General features: G+C 37.0%; 2 long non-coding RNA genes across 2 annotated transcripts in view, besides 1 other annotated feature; one reads left to right on the top strand and one right to left on the bottom strand.

The window, feature by feature from the left end:
• The window catches only part of LOC107986617 (uncharacterized), a 97872-nt gene extending 87497 nt beyond the window's left edge, over positions 1-10375 (bottom strand). Inside the window, exons 1-2 of the long non-coding RNA XR_001744231.2 lie at positions 9937-10375; positions 9789-9841 (exon numbers count right to left, since the gene is read on the bottom strand). This is a non-coding gene — a long non-coding RNA (uncharacterized LOC107986617). The remainder of the gene's footprint in view (positions 1-9788; positions 9842-9936) is intronic.
• The window catches only part of LINC02542 (long intergenic non-protein coding RNA 2542), a 257985-nt gene that overhangs the window by 73787 nt on the left and 163527 nt on the right, over positions 1-20671 (top strand). The window lies entirely within an intron of this gene.
• Positions 10293-10587: an enhancer, noted in NCBI's record as "tiled region #11142; K562 Activating non-DNase unmatched - State 24:Quies". NCBI's record gives its function as "activates a minimal TATA promoter and a strong SV40 promoter by Sharpr-MPRA in K562 cells {active_cell/tissue: K562}" and the evidence as "EXISTENCE:reporter gene assay evidence [ECO:0000049][PMID:27701403]".

Here is a 20671-nt window from a genome sequence, read left to right as displayed (position 1 = left end):
ACAGCAACCAAAACAAACAAACAACAACAACAACAACAACAAAAAACCCCAGTCGTCTTGATTCAAGAATGTTCAGCTAACTATCAATGCTTAATTATCATTACTAGACTGGTCAAATATAAGAGCTGGAGATGCAGTGTAAACCCAAGGTAAACAGTTCTTTACCAATAATTCACTAAAAATGAGTGTTTGTCAGGCTCCCATCTTTAATCAGCACTAAACAGACACACTCACTGAACGAAAAAGAGGAGAATTGCTGAAGTCATTGCAAGCACTTCTCCAGCATCAGGGGAGCTTAAAGTAAATGAAAATGCCTTCTGCTGCACTGTCCATCTCAACAGCCTCCACCTAACTGAACCCTCTTCTCTAAAATTAGTTTTTAGAGATCACAGAATTCCCAAATATCATTCACCCCCCCAAAGTTTGGGTCTTATATTCTTTTTAATGTGTACTCTGCTCTATCTGGATCAGCCCTAGCTCTATCCCTGTGGCCCTCCCGAAAACCGGGCTCCATTGTTCCCTTTTTGTCTGTTGACTGGAAACTTCAACCAGAGAAGCTCCATCCCACTTTGGTAAACATACAATGTAGAATATCAGCTGACTTCTCCCATTATGAATTCATATCATTGTGCTTCTGTTTTGTTCAAACTTACTGTTCTATTCAAAAACCCAAACCAACAGTTTCAAAATTTCATTTCTGTAGACTCACAGCCTAGGGAACTTACTATTTTCATAGAGAAAAGTGACAGTTTACTGCACATTCACAAATGTTATTTGTTTAGTTATTATTTATTTTAGAATATGTATTTATTTAAATTGTCAAATAAAAATTGTGTAGATTCATCATGTACAACATCACATTTTAAAATATGTATATATTGTGGAGTGAATAACTTAGCTAATTAACATATGCGTCACCTCATTTTTTGTGGTGAGGTAATGCATATGTTAATTAGCTAAATTTACACTTAAAAGATAATCATTTAAAATTTACTCTCTTACCAATTTTAGAGAATGTAATACATTGTTATTAACTATAGTCATCATAGTTCTTATTTCTTGACTTGCTAAATTGTACCAGAGGTTTCCTTTGCATTTGTATTTGTGCCAATTTGTAGTTGTTTCCTAATAGTTTTAGTCAAAGAGGTATATTTCCTATTCTAGAATATTAATTTGTAACACTTGCACTAAGGTTCTATTCTCTTTCACACACGTACACATATACAAACCCTTCTGACATCTCTAGTCCTGTTAAACTTCACTCACTCACACCTTCAAACATCACATTGACTACAGCTTCTGAGCCCTGAATCTGGACATGTTGTGTGACAAATGATTTGTCATTTCCAGAGTAGAAGATGAATCTATCTTCTATCCATTCATCTTGATTTTTATCTGTAGTCATACAGAATAACTCTTGCTTTCTGTTTTGCATGGTTCTCCTGTATAACTGTGGTGATCAAACCTCTTAGTTCTTTTCTTTCCTATTGCAAACTTTCCCTGTTCAGTTAACATGTTTCATTTAATATAGTTTTCAAACATTTCAGACTTTTCAATCTCTTTATAATGTCGTGATAAGAAATTGTGACAATACTAAAGATGTAGTCTGTTTAGTGTTAGGTACTATAGACCTACTCCTTTCTTTTGTGTACACCATATTTTATCAATAGAACCAAGATAACATTCACATTTTGACCAGCTTATAAAACATATCTTGGCTTATATTGTACCTGCTTCAATTAAAACCTCAATGTCCTTTTTGTTCAAGTCTCTTGTTATGTGACTGTATGTTACTTTACAGTAATATAATTTGTAACTCGAGAGTTCCCCTCAATTCTGTAGTTTTGGGTCATTCAGCAGGCAGCAAACATTTACTGAGCCCCTGCTGCATACATGGCACCATGCTTAATGCTAAGGGATACAGTGGAGGAGCTCACAATCTCATGAAGGAGAGAGACTAACACGTATTTTTAGTTCAGAGTAAGAAATGCAGCAGGAAAGATATCTGTAAGATAGACTTCTACCCAATTAAAGAGGAGCAAGTAGTTATCAATGTGCTAAGAACTTTAAGTAGAAATGTTCAGTCATTGGAGCTGGGAGAGATTTAGCCTAAATTTAAAGATGGGAGCATGGTAGACTTGTCATTTTGTACCCACTTATTCACTGTTTCTTCCTTTGCCTTTGAGACACAAGCCTTTCCCTCTTTAATACAGCCAGATTTGGATTAGCAATTGACATATGCTCCTTCTGTCTCCCTTACCCATGGGATTATGATATGTCCCAGTGAGACCAATATGATATTCAGTTTCTGGAATTTCAGTTTGACCAAGGAGCTGAAATAATTTTCAGCCAATTTATTGAAGTTGCTGGGTCCTGATGAGACTTCTTTCGGTTCCTACAAGCTTGGTGCTGAACTCCATCTAGGTCTGTTTTTAAGCCCAAGTCTTTAGTTTCCCCTTCAATTATGTGAGTTACCTCATATCCTTACCACAAATTCCTTTTCAGCTTAAGTTGTCAAAGCTGGTTTTCATTGCTTGCAACTATATAATTCAATTAAATAACTTATTGATGCAAGTCTGCATTAGCTTAACTTAGTTGTTAATGTCATTAAAGTAGATAGGATAGTCTTAAGAACATAAACTCTGGAATCAGTTTCCTGTATTTAAATGCTAACTCTATCACTAATTACTCTAATAAACTTAAGCAAAATACTTTATTTCTTTGAGCATCAGTTTTCATATCTATTGAATGAAATAGATATGAAATCTATTCAATATCATAGATATTGAATGGTTTTTAAATAACCCTATCTGTCTAATGTGTGGTTTTAAACGTAAAGGAAGAGAATGCACATAAAACACTTAGCATAGTGTCTGGCATTTACAAAGTACTCAATAAATGTTAGAGTGGAAAGGGATTAAATGTTTCAGGAGTTAGTAAGAATATTACTCAGGAAAGATCAGAGTAGGAAGAGAAGAAGTGGGAGAGAGTGGAGTCATGGATTCAGAAGATGAGATTATCTGGTCAGAATGGGGCAAATGCTACAGGTAATCAAATAAGGTAAGAACTAAAAACAACAATTTTCAGCAAGGAAAAAGCCACAAGCAACCCAATTCAAAAACAGGCAAAGGATTTGAATAGATATTTTTTTCAAAGACAATATCTAAATGGCCAATAAGCACATGAAAAGATACTTAACATCTCTAGTCATTAGGGAGATGCAGATCAAAACCCCATACTTTCCACCTACTAGCATAGTAATTATCCAAAAAATAGAAAATAATGTTGATGAGGATGTTCAGAAATTAGAACTTGTTTGTACTGCTGGTCAGAATGTGAAATAGTACAGCCACTGTGGAAAACAATTAGGTGGTGCCTAAAAAGTTAAACATAAAATTAACATAAGATCCAGCAATTTTACATCTAGGCATATACCCTAAAGAATTGAAAGCAAGAACTCGGTCTGATACTTGTGCACCAATATTCATAGCAGCATCAATAACAATAGCAGAAAGATAGAAACAACACAAATGTCTATCAACAGATAAATGTATAATCAAAAGGTGGTATACACATACAATGGCATATTACTCAGCGTTAAATGAGGGAAATTTTGACACATTCCTTAACATGGATGAATCTTGGAGACATTATCCTAAGTGAAATAAGCCAGACAAAAGAAGGACAAATATTGTGAGTCCACTTATGTGAGGTACATAGGGTAGTTGAATTTACAGAGACAGAAAGGAGATAGAAGTTACCAGAAGCTGAGGGGAAAGGGGACTGGGAAGTTACTGTATCATGGGTACAGAGTTTCTGTTTGTGATGATGAAAAAGTTCATGCAAATGGAGAGTGGTGATGGTTGTACAACACTGTAAAAAGTACTTAATGCCACAGACTTATACACTTAAAATGTTCAAATTGGTAAATTTTATGTATATATATTTTACTACAGTAACAATATTAAAAATACAAAAAATGGCTATGTGCCTTAAGATGTTATAGTTGACCTTTCCTAGTCCGTTTCAGAATGTAAGGGCTAGAATCACAAATTTACTGCGTGCTATGATGGGGGAAATGGAAAGGAAGGAGGTAAAGTCATCAAGAACAGTTGTGAAGAGAAGGATAGAGTGAAAGCTATAGGGATAACGCAGAGTTAAGAAATAGTTTGCTGAAGATATATTTGGGCACGTTTTTGTGCTGAAGAGAAGCAAGCAAAAACAGGGAGGTTGGTTATACAGCAGAAAGAGAGAGTCGATAGAACAAGGTCCTGAAGAAGTAAGTAAAGTTCAGTGGGGTGAATGTAGCTTGGTAGATTGGGTGGAAGGCTGATGAAAGTGCTTATTCCCACTGTGAAGTAGCAGGTGTGGCCATTAATAAGAATGAGTCTCATTCTCATTATTGAGACCCTAACCCTAATGTGGAGCTGAAGAGGGGGCTGGAGTTTGAAGTAGTCACTAAGGGGGCTGGAGAGGGTGCCGATCAAGAATAAGTCAAAGGAATGCTGTTCATTGTTGAGGGCACAGGAAATGAGAATCATACATTTTTGTTGTGATTGTATGATTTTTTCCATTTGTGTTTAGCATACCGCGGAGGAAGGGACAAAGTAGATTATTGGATTCACTCCGTGTTTAAGGCTTCTGGTATAGGGGCAGTAGGACACATAGTCAAGGAAACTGAAATCCAGCCTTGATGGGAGAATGGTTTAAGTGATGAAGGTCCAGTCTGATGAGAAGAGGAAATCAAATGAGGAGGAATAGAGACTAGTCATTGGCAGTTTCACCAACTAAGCCAGTGGAATTCTGCTACTTCTCATGAAATGGATATGGAAAGATCATGGGCCTTAGAAACCAGGAAGCCTGTGTTCTAGACACAGCTCTGCTACTAACCAGTTACATTGCTTTGAACAAGTCATTTCATGTCTTTGGGCCTCAGTTTCTGGAACAGAGATCAGATGATATGTGACACTCCTTCCAGTTTTAACATTCCGGGACCATAGGTCAGGTGATTCATTTGATTAGTAATTCTTACAGTGCTCTGGAGGGGGAAATCCTTTCATGTGGACTTTTTCTTAACACCTAGGATGGAAGTTTCTTAACAAAAAATTTGCCCCTTATACACTGTTAGAGGAAGTAATCCAGGAGTCAGCTAATACTAAGAGAATATCAGAGTTCAACTGTCTAAGACATGTAGCCACTTCTACTCATCAGTGTTGGCATTCCTGTTCTATGAGTCATTTCAGGAAATCTTAGCTGCTTTCATGAGGGCACAGTCCCTGCACCCTGCTCTCCTTTTCCCTTGCTTTTCTTCCTCTGTCTGTTTGGCAATGGTCTGTCCTGTAGCATGTTATTGAATAGATCGGAAGATATTTATCAGGGGTTCCATGAAGTGCCCTGCTCTATGCTGGGACACTGGAATTCACGATGGTTGACAGCTGTTTCACCCTGTGAAACATATTCTGGCTGAGGAGATAAGACCCAAGCACGTGAAATCTTAGCAAATAACATAAAAGAATATATAGTGATGTTCCAAACTGAGAAGTAAAGACAAATACTCTAGGATTTCAGCAGTAACAGGTCATCATAGACCTGTAGAGCAAGTGGGATTTGAACTGAGCCTTGAACATTGGATCAAAATTTGGGAGAAGTCTCTCAATCAAAAATGGGTAGCATCAGACTTGGCAGCGAGAAGGAACTTGCTTTGGCTTTGTTGGTCATTTGCTGATTCCATCTTTTTGGTGAACTTTCAGTTCATTGACCGTTCCCTTTCTCAGTTTGATGCATCCAATTTCTCTCCATAAATCCATAGTTCCTCATATATTATACAGATATCTGAATGAATACAGATATCAGTTTATATTTAAAAATAACCTGAAGCCCTCTTTATGTTTGGAGGTGAGGTTGCAGAGTCAGCTGCTCAGATTGCCAAACCACGTGCACTATTGACTCTTCCAGATACTCTCAGGGATTTGCCATATTATGTTAAAAACAGCTCTTTGCAATTTTTATTGCACACTTGTTATGTGTTGATAAGCATGCATTCCAAAATAGCATTTCTTCTGCCCATACCTTTTACATGTTGCATATAAAACCATATTGCAATCAGATAAAACTATATTCTAAAATGGGATGGCAATGCCTTTCCATTGATAGCAATGCGAAGCTGGGTTTGAGGTGGGATTATACTTCAGGAAGAGACAAAATTCTCACTAGAAAGTTAGTGTAGATAACTCTAGGACTGAGGAGGGTGGGCAGCATATGACTTAATTTAAACACTAACCCAGGATCCTCAAAATGTATACGATTGACTCTATGCACTGACCTTGGAACTGCAAGGTTCAGACTCACAGTGTGCTGGGATAATCATCACTTGGCTGCTTATGTCCTCACTAATTTGTATTTCTTAAAATGCAGAATGTTTCAGGTGGAGAGTGAATCTTCCTGCATAGCACTCTTTGGGAAACTGTCAGAATAGAAAATACTTTGACAGTTTCCATTTTTATGAAATTGATGGGGGCTGAAGGTACACACATATGCAAATTATTTAATAAAGCTTATGGAGAAGTCTATAAACCAGAAAAACTTAATTACATAATAATAATGACTGTATGTTGAATGCTTACTGTGTCCCAGGTACTACTGAAGTTCACAAGAGCAGAAAGAGGTGTAGGATTAGCAGAGAAGAGTGAACTTGTAAATCTGGACCTTCAGAATGCTCTCTTCTAATATTCTTTTCCCCTCCTCACTTGCCCTTCAGATATGTTCATCCTTCAAATCCAAGTGATCTCATTCTTCAGATAATTCTTTAACATCTAGAACTTCACTATCCTATATAAATGACACTAGCTGGCTATTTAAATCTTTTTTTGCCCATTTTATTTTTATTTATTTTTTAAAATTGGCACAAATGTATAAGGTACATATGCAATTGTGTTATATGCATAGATTGCATAGTGGTCACATCAGGGCTTTTAAATTAAATTAAATGAAAAATTTAGTTCCTCAGTTGCATTAGCCATATTTCAACTATTCAATAGCCACATGTAGCTAGTGGCTATCATATAGAACACTTTACAGATATAGAAAATTCTATTGAACAGCATTGACTAGACTACAGATCTCTGTAAAACATAGCTTCTTTTATAATGGTCAGTGTACTTGAATTACTTATATTGCCCCATCTTGCCCACCAGATTGTACATCCCATAAAGTAGGGACTTTTCTATCTTCCTAACTAAACATGGTATATCCGTTATCCAGCATAGTGTCTAGCATGTCTGGTGTCTGATGCACAATAATATTTTTGATAATTCACCAATGCATAGGAGGAAATTTATTACTGTCTGGATGAGTCAGAAATTGTCTCCCAGAAGAGAAAAGATTTGGGTTGGATTTTGAAGGACAAATATGAGCTTGTCAGCTTGAAAAAGAGATAGGCATTCAGGAAAACAGACCAGCACAGTCAAAGACAAAATCATTATAGGTTATGTTTAAGAAAAAGATCAAGTAAGAAGTTCATGGTGGCTGAAGCAGAGTTTGTATGTGTATAGAGTGGGTGTACTGAGGTGCAGAGAATGGTCTGGGAGTGGGTTTATGTAGAAGATGTACAGTTGGAGACAGATAGTGAAGGAGATTTTTGTTATATAATAATTTTAGACTATTTTCTGTAAAGGTGACAGGCACCACAAACAGTTACAGGAAGGAGATTGGTATGTTCAGATTATACCAATTCATTCATTTATTTTAGGAGCATAATTATGGGAGCAATGTGGAAGATGGAATAAACAGGAGAGAAACAAGAACAGAAAAATAAGCTATTTTCTAGTTGTGATACCTGCAGCTATAAAGGAAAGGCTGCAATCAGGGAATAGTCCTGAGGTAGAATAGACAGGATTTGCTAGCTTGTTAATAAGGTGGACGGTGACAAAATGAACAGAGATTATGAATATGGAAGGAGAAACATATTTGGAAAAGAGAATAATTGATTTGATGTGCTCAAAGGCAATACAGTGGGTTAGGAAATTGGCAATATACTTGTGGATCCCAGGAGAGAGGTCCAGGCTGGAGATACAGATTGAGGGGTACAGTTGCCAGCTTTTAGACTGATGGAAGCAATGGGAAGCTCATGAAGAGGCTTGAAACTTAACATGGAAATGAAAGTCAGATACTAGAGAATGCTAACATTTAAAATATCTAAACAGAATAAAAAGCCAATGAAGCTGGTAGAGAAGGGGCAATCATAGGCGCAAAAAAATTTAAGAAGTAGAAAGCAGTTGATAGAAGTCACGAAAGACTAAATGTTGGTCATTAATATCTAGAAATATAGTAATAACAAACCCTGCATTCTTTTCATAGTCTTTAGCATGGTCAACATTGATGCTACATCAATGAAGTCAATACCTAGGTAAATATTTTCCAGCACTAGTGGACTTTCTTTCCTATTTTTCTTTGGTTAGAAACTATTCTCCTGTTCTTCTCTGTCAAAAGTAGAAAACTTACAGCTCATTGTGAAAAATATCTTTGACTGATAGGAACTTCACATTGTGTTTGTTTTAGGGGCATTTCATAGGAATCATTTATTTCCAGAGATAAGTATTTAAAACTGAAATTTTGGCTTTAAATCTGATTTGGAAGCCATTGATATGGGAAGACCATGGTCTTCCGGCATCCTTAAATGTTTAATTCAATAGTTGGCTCCTGATTTTAGAAGGGCGATTGACCTAGGGTAGAGCTAGAGGAGAACTACTAGGATAATCCTAGTAGCCATTGAAGGACAAAACCTTAAGCCATGTTATAGTTTGAAAGATCCAGGATTGTAAACATGAGATGATACCTAACAGATAGCTGAGGGTGTTAAGTAGAGAAAGGACTGAATTTACTCTGTGGCACCTTAAAAGAGAACCGTGAAAGAGGGGTGACATGCTAAAGGGAGGCTGATTGTGTTTCTTATGTTGGACTGTCAGTTTCTTGAGAGTAGGATGTTTTATCATCTAACTCCGTCACTGGGCAATGCTTGACAGATAAAGAAAGTTTTAATATCTGTCTGTTGTACTAGTAAATTGAACCACTCAAATAATTAATTAATTAATCATTCATCCTGCAAGCTCATGAGTTGCCTGTATTAGAACTATTTGAACAGAAGTTAGATTTATCCTTAAAAGAGTGCGTTAGACTCCATGCGTGGGGGAGGGCTGTATTGGAGGACTTTGATGAATTCCTTCTCCACTTTGCTATAGTCGTATGCAATGACACTTGTGATGGCTGGAAACTTGAACTTCAAACATGCGCTGTCTGCAAGTGTTAAGGGGTAAGAAGAAGGAAATGATAAGAAAATGATGAGTTTTGTAGAGATCTGGCATTCATATTGCCCACCTGTAACTCAGGCATTCGACACACAAAAACTCACCATCACACAAGTAAGTTTAAGAAAATAACCACAGAACGTGCTGAGTCTCTTGGATGCCCCTGACTTGTATCCTTCACTTGAATGCACCCAACCTTATTCCTGGAATGTGCTTTTTTTCTGTGTCCCAAATGAGAACAGATTAGTTGGGTAAGAACATATCTCAGACCTTTAGCGTGGCTCAGAGAAACACTGGCATAGTTGATTCAGGAACTAGGAGCTATGTCTTGGGTGCATTAAAAAACAAAAACAAAAAACTATAAATACCTAAAGAAAAGTCTGATGGTTTTGCTGTTCAGTTTTGGCAGAGTTGAAATTAGCTGTAAGGAATCTGGAAATGTGATAATTTGGAAGATAATGAAGTCTCAAGATGCTCAGGACTTACCTGTCAAGGTGCTGACATCTTTGGAATTCTATCTTCAGTGCCATTTCCAAGTTCTAAAGAGAATATAGGCAAGAGTTCAAGCTGAATCTTATTCTTGTCCCTGACCTCCAGAAAATTACTAGTATACTAAAAATAAAATTTCTATTACCATGGTAGTCATAAGAGACAGTAGCGAATGGTTGAAAGCATGGGTTCTGGCGGTTGCCAAACTAGATTTGACTGGGGGCCCAGCTTTGTGATTTTTGGCAAGTTGCTTATCCGCTCTCCAAACTTTAAATTCTTCATCTGTTAAAATGAAAATACTAATACCTACATCATAGGGTTGCCTTTGAGAGTAGAATTAATTATTATTAATTCTATACAATGGAATTAACTTATAAACTGATTCTTCAACACAGAATATTTTTGGAGCACTCAATATGGTAATTTTCATGTGGATTGGATAGATTAATCATACCCAGAATGGGCAGAAATATTTTGCAATGCTCACAGGGGAGACTGAGAAATCCCAAATCAAATCTAAAAACTTTACAATGGCATGAGATTCCTGCTTGCTCTGTCCCCTTCTCCTGTTGCCTATTGAAATGACTGGGAGAGCTGTTAAGCAAGTGCTTAACTCCTCAGGGATTGATGAGTCAGAGTCAGCAAAGAGGACTCTGCTAAGCCTCTGTGACCCTGAGCCCTCCCTTCTCCCAGGTTATGACTGATTCTTGCCCAGTTTTGCATTATTTCACCATGGAGACAAATGTTCTAAAGAGGGAAGGAGGATTTGCTGGGCTTGTTTATTGCTGTAATAACATCTGTCAGGTGTTAAGCAACTACCTTCTCTCCAGCTGCCCCCTTTCCTCCTGTTCCTTTGAATAAGCCTAGATAGTTACCCCAAATACCATTTCTACTGTAGATAGGAGAGTTGCCTCCAAGATTGGTCCTTGGTTGCCAGCTGTGAAAATACTGCCACATCTCCAGTGACACACTATTGTGCAGTGTTTATAACCTGGGGTTAGGCATCAGACTCAACAAGGTTTCCATCTCAGCTCTAGTTACCAACTTAACTTCTCTTACTTTCAGTTTCTCATCCATAAAATAGGATAATAATAGCTTATATTTGATGAAATTAGAGGAGATTATGGCTTTGTAGTAACCATTTCACGTATGTTAGCTTCTAAGATCATTATTATTAAAAATGTTCTCTGGAGCTTTAAATTTATTTTTGGAACTACTTATTCTGGATTCCAAACAGCCCTGGTAGGAGTATAAACTCTGAAAACTACTGGCTCAGGCTCCTGGCTATCTCCAGATTTATGTACATGCCTCTCTTAGTAGGCAAAGTGTCTGGCCAAACTATTGATTGAATGACTCTGTATCAATTATCTTTTGTTGCAGTTATTATTCCTGATGAGACTGTTGGCTAGCTAGATAGTTTTGGGTTCTGCTTATCTGATCTTTGCTTAGTTCTGCTGAGCTCAACGATGCATCTTATGTCTGCTGTTGGGTCAGTTAGAAACAGGCTGATATAGAATAGTGTCACTCACATGGCTGGCTATCAGTTTGGGTGATATGGAGGATGGGACTGTGTATTTCTTCTCATCCAGCAGGCTAGCCTAGGCTTATTTTCATGCTAGAAATTGGGTTCTGAGACAAGAGAGAGGTAAAGCATGCAAGGTTTCTTGATTGTACCCCATCATATTGCATTCTGTTGGCCAAAGCAAGTCACAAAAGCGAGCCCAGGCATAAGAAGCATGAAAATAGACCTCAACTAGCAAAGGACGGATATGCAAAGGCATATTGCAAAGGGTATGGATACAGGGAGTTGTGAACACATAGGGCCATCAGTTTACCATGTACTCACCGTAAAGTAATCATTAGCCCTGGGCATCAATATTCTTGACTCAATAACTGGAACATAAAACTGAACTATTAATCCACTATATTCCATTCAATGTGTTGAAATTGTTGCCTTCTTTCAGTGTTTCAACAACCATTTTCCCAGTGTAGGTGCAAAGGAAGATGAACATAGTATTCTGAATAGGTCAGAGTTTCTGCTCTTTCCTTCTTTTCCACTCTTCCTTTTCACCCACAATCCTGCCTACTACTGAATGTTCTTTGAACTCAGTGATCTTCTCTATTCTGCAGAGTGTAAATCAAGTGTAGAAATAGGTAGGGCAAAAATATGAGAGTAGAATTTAAACTTCTAGAAGTTCTTTCTTCCACATTTGCTCTTGGAATCACTGCATAGTCAAAGTAATGCACAGTTGTCACTTGCCATTCAGTTTTGAGAAATGAGTCTCTCTTTTTCTTATTTCCCTCTCATGCCTATTGCCAATATTTATTTTTCACCATGGAATGGTTGTTGTGAAATTTTTCCTACACTGAGTACTTTTTAAGTTTTTTTATAGCACATAGACCCACTATGGCTAGCATCTCATGGCTCACTTCCCATTAGACATTTGTGAACATGGTCTTTGGATGGTACTTAAGTTTTCTGGAGTGGCAGCGTAAACAGGAATGGAAATTCAGAACAAAGCATCAGAAGGAAATGCTGTGACGTGGGGCATGATGTTCAAGGACCAGTGAAACAAAGGCAAAAACACACAAAGAGTGACCCTGGAATGATTGATTTCATCAACAAGTATGAACCTCAGAGAATTAAGATTACAAAGTGCCATGAAAAGCCAGAAGTGTGATGCCTTTGTGCACCCAAAGACTTTACAATCTGGTTGTTAAGGCAGATCCTGATAGAAAAATATACAATGATATAAGAAGATCATTAAGGGCAGAATTGAGAGGGGTGGTCTGTAAAGAACAAAGTATTATAAGGATGGCTTGGAGTGGCCGAGAAAGGTTGACAGACTCTGGTAAACTGAAAACCCAGGTTATTTCTGAACTGACTCAGAATGGCTGTGTCACCAAAAAAAGGACAAAGGAGTCAAGGAGACTATGTGTACTTCCTTAATTATTTTTATGGTTTGCTGATTCATAGACTGATTGAGCTGCAGGGTTGGAGGGGACTGTAGCTGTCATCTAGCAAAGCTGCTTTCTTGCCATCCAATGTTGGAAAATATTGGAAGCCTTCTTCCACCGTCCTTTCCTTCAGTCCTTGAGTAGATCAGCAGTGCTTCAAACCTTACTGTATGGAATATTGACTTTCTGTGTCTCTGCTGACACACCCTGAAATGGGTAGAACTTAAGGCTCCTTGGAAGAAGACAGTTCATTTCCTGAGTCAGCACAGACCCATCACCTCAGCCTCAAAGCTCTCATTTTATATCTGAATCAAAGGGTGTCCTAAACATGGAACACAGCCCTTCCCTTCCTTTTTTTCCCCGTCAAAGTGAAAAATGGCTGGGTAGGAGCTCTAATTATGTGGAACATGCTGGACACTCTTTTCATGTCCAAGTAAATTGGTGTAACCACTGTCCTTGAAGCAATGAGGTGATGCTGTGGTAACCACAGAGATGGGCTGGTATGCTCACAGTAGCAACAAAATCTAGTATTTGCACAGTGTTTTATAATTGTAACGAGTATTTACATATATTATTTGAATCTTGTTAAATTCAGTACCCTAGACCTGATAACTATTATTATCATAGGCTCTCATTTTTTGAATCTGTAAACTGAGGCTTAGAGAAGTATAACTTGACTTAAATAAGTTAGTAATCAAAACCTAGAACCGAGATTTTTTTTCTCAACTCTCAATTCAGTGCTATTTTTACTACACTGTGATTATTTTTTCTTAATAGTTCATCCCATGATTTTTATTTGTTTGGTAACTTACTGTCTGTAAAAACTCCCCCAAAATAAATTAATGTCATTGGTCTTCATATTTTTCTTAAGAAAACTGGAAAGACTCCAAAGATTTGTCCCCTGTGATCCATTTTGGAACTTTAAGATGAACAAAATAGATCTATGGGAAGAAAAAAATAATATTTTAAAATTTAAGCAATTTTCTTTCTGTCTACTCTAAAAATATGAGTCTATTGCTTGTTAATGCTGACAACATCCCAGTGAGGTAAGGAGGTCAGGAACACTATTATCTCTCTGTTTTTAAAAGCGGGTACACAGAGAGGAAATAACTTGCCCAAGGACATGGTGACTCAGTCAGAAGAGGAGCCAGGATGAAAACAGCCCTCATTTTTTGACTTTCAATACAACCAAGACCCTGATCCAGATGGGTTACGGGATTATGGCCCTTCACAAATAAGTGCATATTAGTCAGATGTGGAAATAATTATGTCCCTTTCACATTCTGAACAGAAAGTGAACTCTCAAATATATTGGCAAAGGGGAAGCCAAGATTCTCCAAGACTTTTTCTTTCCTTCTTTTTATTTTTAAGTCACAGATGGCTAGTCTGAAAATGAGGGAAAAAAAACAACCTTTCCTTGTCTTTTCTCTTAGGCCTGGCCTCACATAACACCCCCTACCACACCCCTGTGGGAAGAAGGATTACACTTTCCACTATTCCCTAGAGTAGATTTTGTTCTTTTAAAATAAACAAACACTTGAAAACTTTTTTTCTTCTAATATTAGCTTTGGTCTTGAACCAGAATTGATTTGGCATGGAGTAACTAGAAAGGATGAATAGTATTCTCCATGAGCAGTAGAGGAGATTCTCTTTCCACAGAGCCTTTTAGAATCATCATTCAATATGATGAACCCAAAATGAGACTAATTTTGACCAAGAGAAATAATGACATGAGATAACCACTCATCATCCCTGTTGGCTGGGATTACCTAATGATGCCAAGTGGGGTGGCTGCCTACATTCCTATTTTCCCCACACCAGAATGACCATGTACCCTGGGTCTGGTTGTATAATAATAAATTATCCTTTTTTTTTTTAACTCAAGGAAGGATTGCCTTTTTCAATTCACACAAAGATTCTTCACAGTGTCTGGTAGAGGCCCTGATCCAGTCCTTCCTAGTGGCTCTATTCCTCTACTCCCAAATTAAACCTGCTTTCTCATATGCTGGCAAAGTTGGATTACATGGCAGGTTAGTTACTTGCTGAAATGACTCTTTGGTATTTGATCCTTTTTCTGCAACATGTATATAGTTTTCTTACAGATAATGGGTCTATAACTTTATAAGATTATAAAAATAAGATCATATTTGTAGGATAAACATTTAGAATTAGAACCAGTGTGGTGATGGAATCCTCTTTATCTAGTTATCTAGGAAATACAACCTTGGAGAGAAACTATGAATGGGTAAGTGGAGATGTGAACAGCCCTGTTTTGGTCTGCTAAAACTATCATAACAAAATACCACAGCCTGGGTGGCTTAAACAACAGATTTTATTCCTAACGTTTTGAGAGTCTCAGGAGCCCAGGATCAAGATGTTGGCAAAGTAGGTTTTATCCTGAGGCCTCTTCTCTTAGTGGCTGCTTTCTGGCTGTGTACTCACAGAACCTCTTTGTGAGCTTGTGAAGAGGGAGAGAGCTCCTTGGTGTCTCTTATAAGGACACTAATCCTATTGGAACAGGGCTCCACACTTATGACCTCATTTAACCTGAATTACTTCTGTAGAGGCCTCAATTGCCTGAATAGCTGTTTGAAAACATGATATGGTGTTAAATAGTCCTAGAGACTATTCAAATGAAAAGAAAAATTGTTCTACCTCATATTTCAAAAGAAGAGAGCTTGCACAATTTTCAGTGTTAACTCTCCTTTTGTAAAACATTATGAAAATCCTATTTTTCAAATGTTTTCCTGTATTACCTTGGTATGCATTCTGTCAACTTAAAGGGCTTTTTTCCCCTTTCCCATAAAACATAGTATGTGGCAATTTTATCAAGTAGAGACTGCATCTTTTCTGTTTACTTAATTTCTTTTTTAAAAAGACCAACTTATTTAGGTGTAATTGACATATAAATAGCTGTATACATTTAATATATGCATCTTGACGAGTTTGGGGATAAGTATACATCCATAAAACCAGCACCACCATCAAAGCCATAAACACATCCATCACCTCCCAAAGTGTCCTCCTGCCCTCTTTGTTGTTGTTGTTATTGTCTTTCTATAAGAACCCTTAACATATGATCTACTCTCTTAGGAATTTTAAGTATGTAATGCAGTATTGTTAGTGATGGGTGCAATGATGTATAGATCTCCAGAACTTATCTTACACAACTGAAACTTTGTACCTTTTAATTGTTCTTTTCCCATTTCTTCCTCTCCCTATTCACTGACAACTACCATTCTACTCTCTGCTACTGTGAGTTTGACTATTTTAGATTCCACATGTAAGTGAAATCATGCAGTGTTTATCTTTCTGAGTCTGGCTTATTCCATTTAATATAATGTCTTCGGGTTCATCCGTGTTGTGCAAATGGTAGGATTTCCTTATTTTTGAGGCTGAATAGTACTCCATTGTATGTATCTACCATGACTTTTTCATTCATTCATCCATTGATGGACAATTAGGTTGCTTCCATATCTTGGTTATTGTGAATAATGCTGCAATGAACATGGGAATGCAGATGTTTGTCTCTTCAAGATCCTATTTCAACTGTTTTGGATATATACCCAGAAGTGGGATTGCTGGATCATATATTAGTTCTATTTTTAATTTTTTAAGGAACTTCCATACTGTTTTCCATAATGGCTTTATGCATTTACATTCCCATCAACAGTACAGGGTTCCCTTTTCTCCACATCTTTGGCAATACTTACCTTTTATTTATTTACTTCTTTATTTTTATAACAGCCATCCTAGTAGGTGTGAGATGATACCTAGAGATTTCAGTTTGCATTTGTCTGATGATTAGTGATGTTGAGCACATTTATATGTACTTCTTGGCCATTTGGATGTCTTTTTTTGAGAAATTTCTTTTCAAGTTCTTTGCCTATTTTGTAGTCATATTTATTAATGTTTTTCTTTTCAGCTGTATGAATTCCGTATTATTTTAGATATTAATCCCTTATCAGATATATGGTTTGCAAATATTTGCTCCCACTCCATAAGTTGCCTTTTCATTTTGTTGATCATTTCTTTTGCTATCCAGAAGCTTTTTAGTTTGATGTAATACTACTGGTTTATTTTTGCTTTTGTTGTCTGTGCATTTTTTGCTAAAATTAACTTCGAGGAGCTTTTCCTCTATATCTTCTTCTCTAAGTCTTTATTTTGAGTTGATGTGGGTGCTTGGTGTAAGGTAAGAGTTTGTTTGTTTTACATGTAGATACACAGATTTCTATTCAATATTTATTCAAAAGGTTATCTTTCAATCTTGTGGATTTCTGGTGCCCTTGTCAAAAATTAGTTGCAAATGATGGGCAAAGACTTCAAGACTAAAACACCAAAAGAAATTGCAACAAAAGCCAGAATTGACTAATGAGATCTAATTAAGCTAAAGAGCTTTTGCACAGCAAAATAAACTATCATCAGAGCCTACAGAATGGGAGAAAATTTTTGTGATCTACCCATCCGACAAAGGTCTAATTTCCAGAATCTACAAGGAGCTTAAACAAATTTACAAGAAAAAAAAAAAAACCATCAAGAAGTGGGTGAAGGATATGAACAGACACTTTTCAAAAGAAGATATTCATGCAGCCAACAAACATGAACAAAAGCTCATCATCACTGGTCATTAGAGAAATGCAGATCAAAACCACAATGAGATACCACCTCATGCCAATTAGAATGGCAATTACTAAAAAGTCAGGAAACAATAGATGTGAGGCTGTGGAGAAACAGGAACACTTTTACGCTGTTGGTGGGAATGTAAATTAGTTCAATCCTTGTGGAAGACAGTGTGGCAATTCCTCAAGGATCTGGAACCAGAAATACCATTTGATGCAGCAATCCCATTACTGGGTATATACTAGAGGAAAGTAAATCATTCTACTATAAAGACACATGCATATGTATGTTTATTGTAGCACTATTTACAATAGCAAAGACTTGGAACCAACCCAAATGCCCATCAATGATAGACTGGATAAAGAAAATGTGGCACATATATACCATGGAATACTATGCAGCCATAAAAAAGAATGAGTTCATGTCCTTTGCAGGAACATGGATGAAGCTGGAAGCCATCATTCTCAGCAAACTAACACAGGAATAGAAAACCAAATACCACATGTTCTCACTCATAAGTGGGAGTTGAACAATGAGAACACATGGACCCAGGGAGAGGAGCATTACACACTTGGTCCTGTCAGGGGGTGGTGGGTAAGGGGAGGGAGAGCATTAGGACAAACACCTAATGCATGCGGGGCTTAAAACCTAGATGACGGGTTGATAGGTACAGCAAACCATCATGGCACATGTATACCTATGCAACAAACCTGCACATTCTGCACATGTATCCCAGAACTTGAAGTAAAATTTAAAAAAATTAGTTGCAAATGGATGGGTTTACTTCTGGGCTTTCTATTCTGTTTCACTAGTTTATGTTTTTGTTTATGCAACCACTATACTGTTTTGATTATCATAGCTTTGTAACTTTTTTTTTCAACTTTTACTTTAGATTCATTGGGTACATGTGCAGATTTTTCTTTACCTGGGTATATTGCACGATGCTGAGTTTTGGGGCATGAATAATATCCAACCCAGTTACAAAGCATGGTACCCAATACTCATTTTGCAACCTTTGCCCCACTCTCTTTCTCCTCCCTCTAGAAGTCCCCAGTTTCTATTGTTGGAATCTGTGTTCATGAGTACTTGATGTTTAGCTACCACTTATAAGTGAGAACATGTGGTATTTGGTTTTCTGTTCCTGTGTTAATTTGCTTAAGATAATGGCCTTCAGCTATATCCATGTTGCTGCAAAGGATATGATTTCATTCTTTTTTGTGGTTACATAGTATTCCATGGTGTATATGTACCACAATCTCTTTACCCAGTACACCTTTAATGGGAACCTTTGTTAATTCTATGTCTTTACTATTTTGAATAGTGCTGCAATGAACATGTAAGTGCATGTGTCTTTTGGTAGAATGATTTATTTTCTTTTGGGTATATACCCAGTAATGGGATTGCTAGGTCAAGTGGTAGTTCTGTTCTAAGTTCTTTGAGAAATCACCAAACTGCTTTTCATAGTGGCTGAACTAATTTACATTCTCACCAACAGTGTAAAAGTGTTCTCTTTCTCCACAGTCTGGCCACTACCTGTTGTTTTCGACTTTTTAATAATAGTCATTCTGACTGGTGTGAGATGGTATCTCATTGTGGGTTTGATTTGCATTTCTCTGATGATTTGTGATGCCAAGCATTTTTAAATATGTTTTTTGGCCACTTGTATCTCTTCTTTGAGGAAGTGCCTCTTCATGTCTTTTGCCCATTTTTAAATGGGATTGTTTTTCGTTTATGCAATTGTCTAAGTTCCTCATAGATTCTGGATATTAGACCTTTGTCTGATGTGTAGTTTGCAAGTATTTTCTCCCATTCTATCTAGCTTGTCTATTTACTCTGTTGATAGTTTCTTTTACTGTGCATAAGCTCTTTAGTTTAATTAGGTCCCACTTATACGTTTTTTTTGAGGACTTGGTCACAAATTCTTTTCCTAGACCAATGTCCAGAATGGTGTTTCCTCTGTTTTTTTCTAGGATTCTTATACTTTGAGCTCTTACATTTAAATATTTAACCCATCTTGAGTTAATTTTTGTATGTGGTGAAAGGTAGGGGTCCAGTTTCATTCTTCTGCATATGACTAGTCGGTTATCCCAGCACCATTTTTTTGAATAGAGAGTCCTTTCCTCATTGCTTATTTTTGTCAGCTTTGTCAAAGGTAAGATAGCTGTAGGTATGCAGCATTATTTCTGGATTCTCTATCTGTTCCATTGGTCTATGTGTCTGTTTTTGTACTAGTACCATGCTGCTTGGTTACCGTAGCTTTATAGTATAGTTTGAAATTGGTTAGTATGATGCCTCTGGCTTTGTTCTTTTTGTTTAGAATTGCTTTGGCTGTTTTGGGCTCTTTTTTGGTTCCATATAAATTTTAGAATTTTTTTCTAGTTCTGTGAAAAATGATGTTGGTAGTTTGATAGGAATAGCATTGAATCAGTAGATTGGTTTGGGTAGTATGGCTATTTTAACAATATTGATTCTTCCAAACTATGAGTATGGAAAGATTTTCATTTGTTTCTGTCATCTATGATTTCTTTTAGCAGTGTTTTGTAGTTCTTCTTTTAGAGATCTTTCATCTTCTTGTTAGATGTATTCCTAAATTATTATTTTTTTTTGCATGGCCATTGTAAATGAGATTGCATTCTTGATTTGGCTTTCAGCTTAAATGTATTGGTGCATAGAAATGCTAGTGATTTTTGTACATTGATTTTGTATTCTGAAACTTTACCAAAGTGATTTTTCAGTTCTAGGAGCCTTTTTGCGGCGGCGCTTTTAGGGGGTTTCTAGGTGTAGAATCATATTTGCAAAGACAGATAGTTTGACTTCTTCTTTTCCTATTTGGATGTCTTTTATTTATTTCTCTTGCCTGATTGCTCTGGCTAGCACTTCTAGTACAATGTTAGCAGTGATAAGAGTAGGCATTCTTTTCTTGCTCCAGTTCTCAAGGGAAGTGCTTCCAGTTCTTACCCATTCAGTGTGATTTTGGCTCTGTGTTTGTCAGAGAGGGTTCTTATTATTTTGAGGTATATTCCTTCTTGAGGAACATCATTTCTTGAGGTTTTTCATTTTTTTTTAATCATGAAGGGATGTTGGATTTTCTTGAAAGCTCTTTCCACACCTATTGAGATGATCATATGTTTTGTCTAGTGGTAATGAATTCCCTTAGTGCTTGCTTGTCTGAAAAAGTTTCATTTCTCCTTTGCTTATGAAGCTTAGTTTGGTGGGACATGAAATTCTTGGCTGAAATTTCTTGTCTTTAAGAATGCTGCAAACAGGCCCCCCATCTTTCCTTGCTTGTAAGATTTCTGCTG

The sequence above is a fragment of the Homo sapiens genome, chromosome 6 (genome assembly GCF_000001405.40).
Source record: "Homo sapiens chromosome 6, GRCh38.p14 Primary Assembly".
NCBI classification, from domain to species: Eukaryota; Metazoa; Chordata; class Mammalia; order Primates; family Hominidae; genus Homo; species Homo sapiens.
Note: the sequence above shows the minus strand (reverse complement) of the source record. Positions and strands in the feature narration are given on the sequence as shown.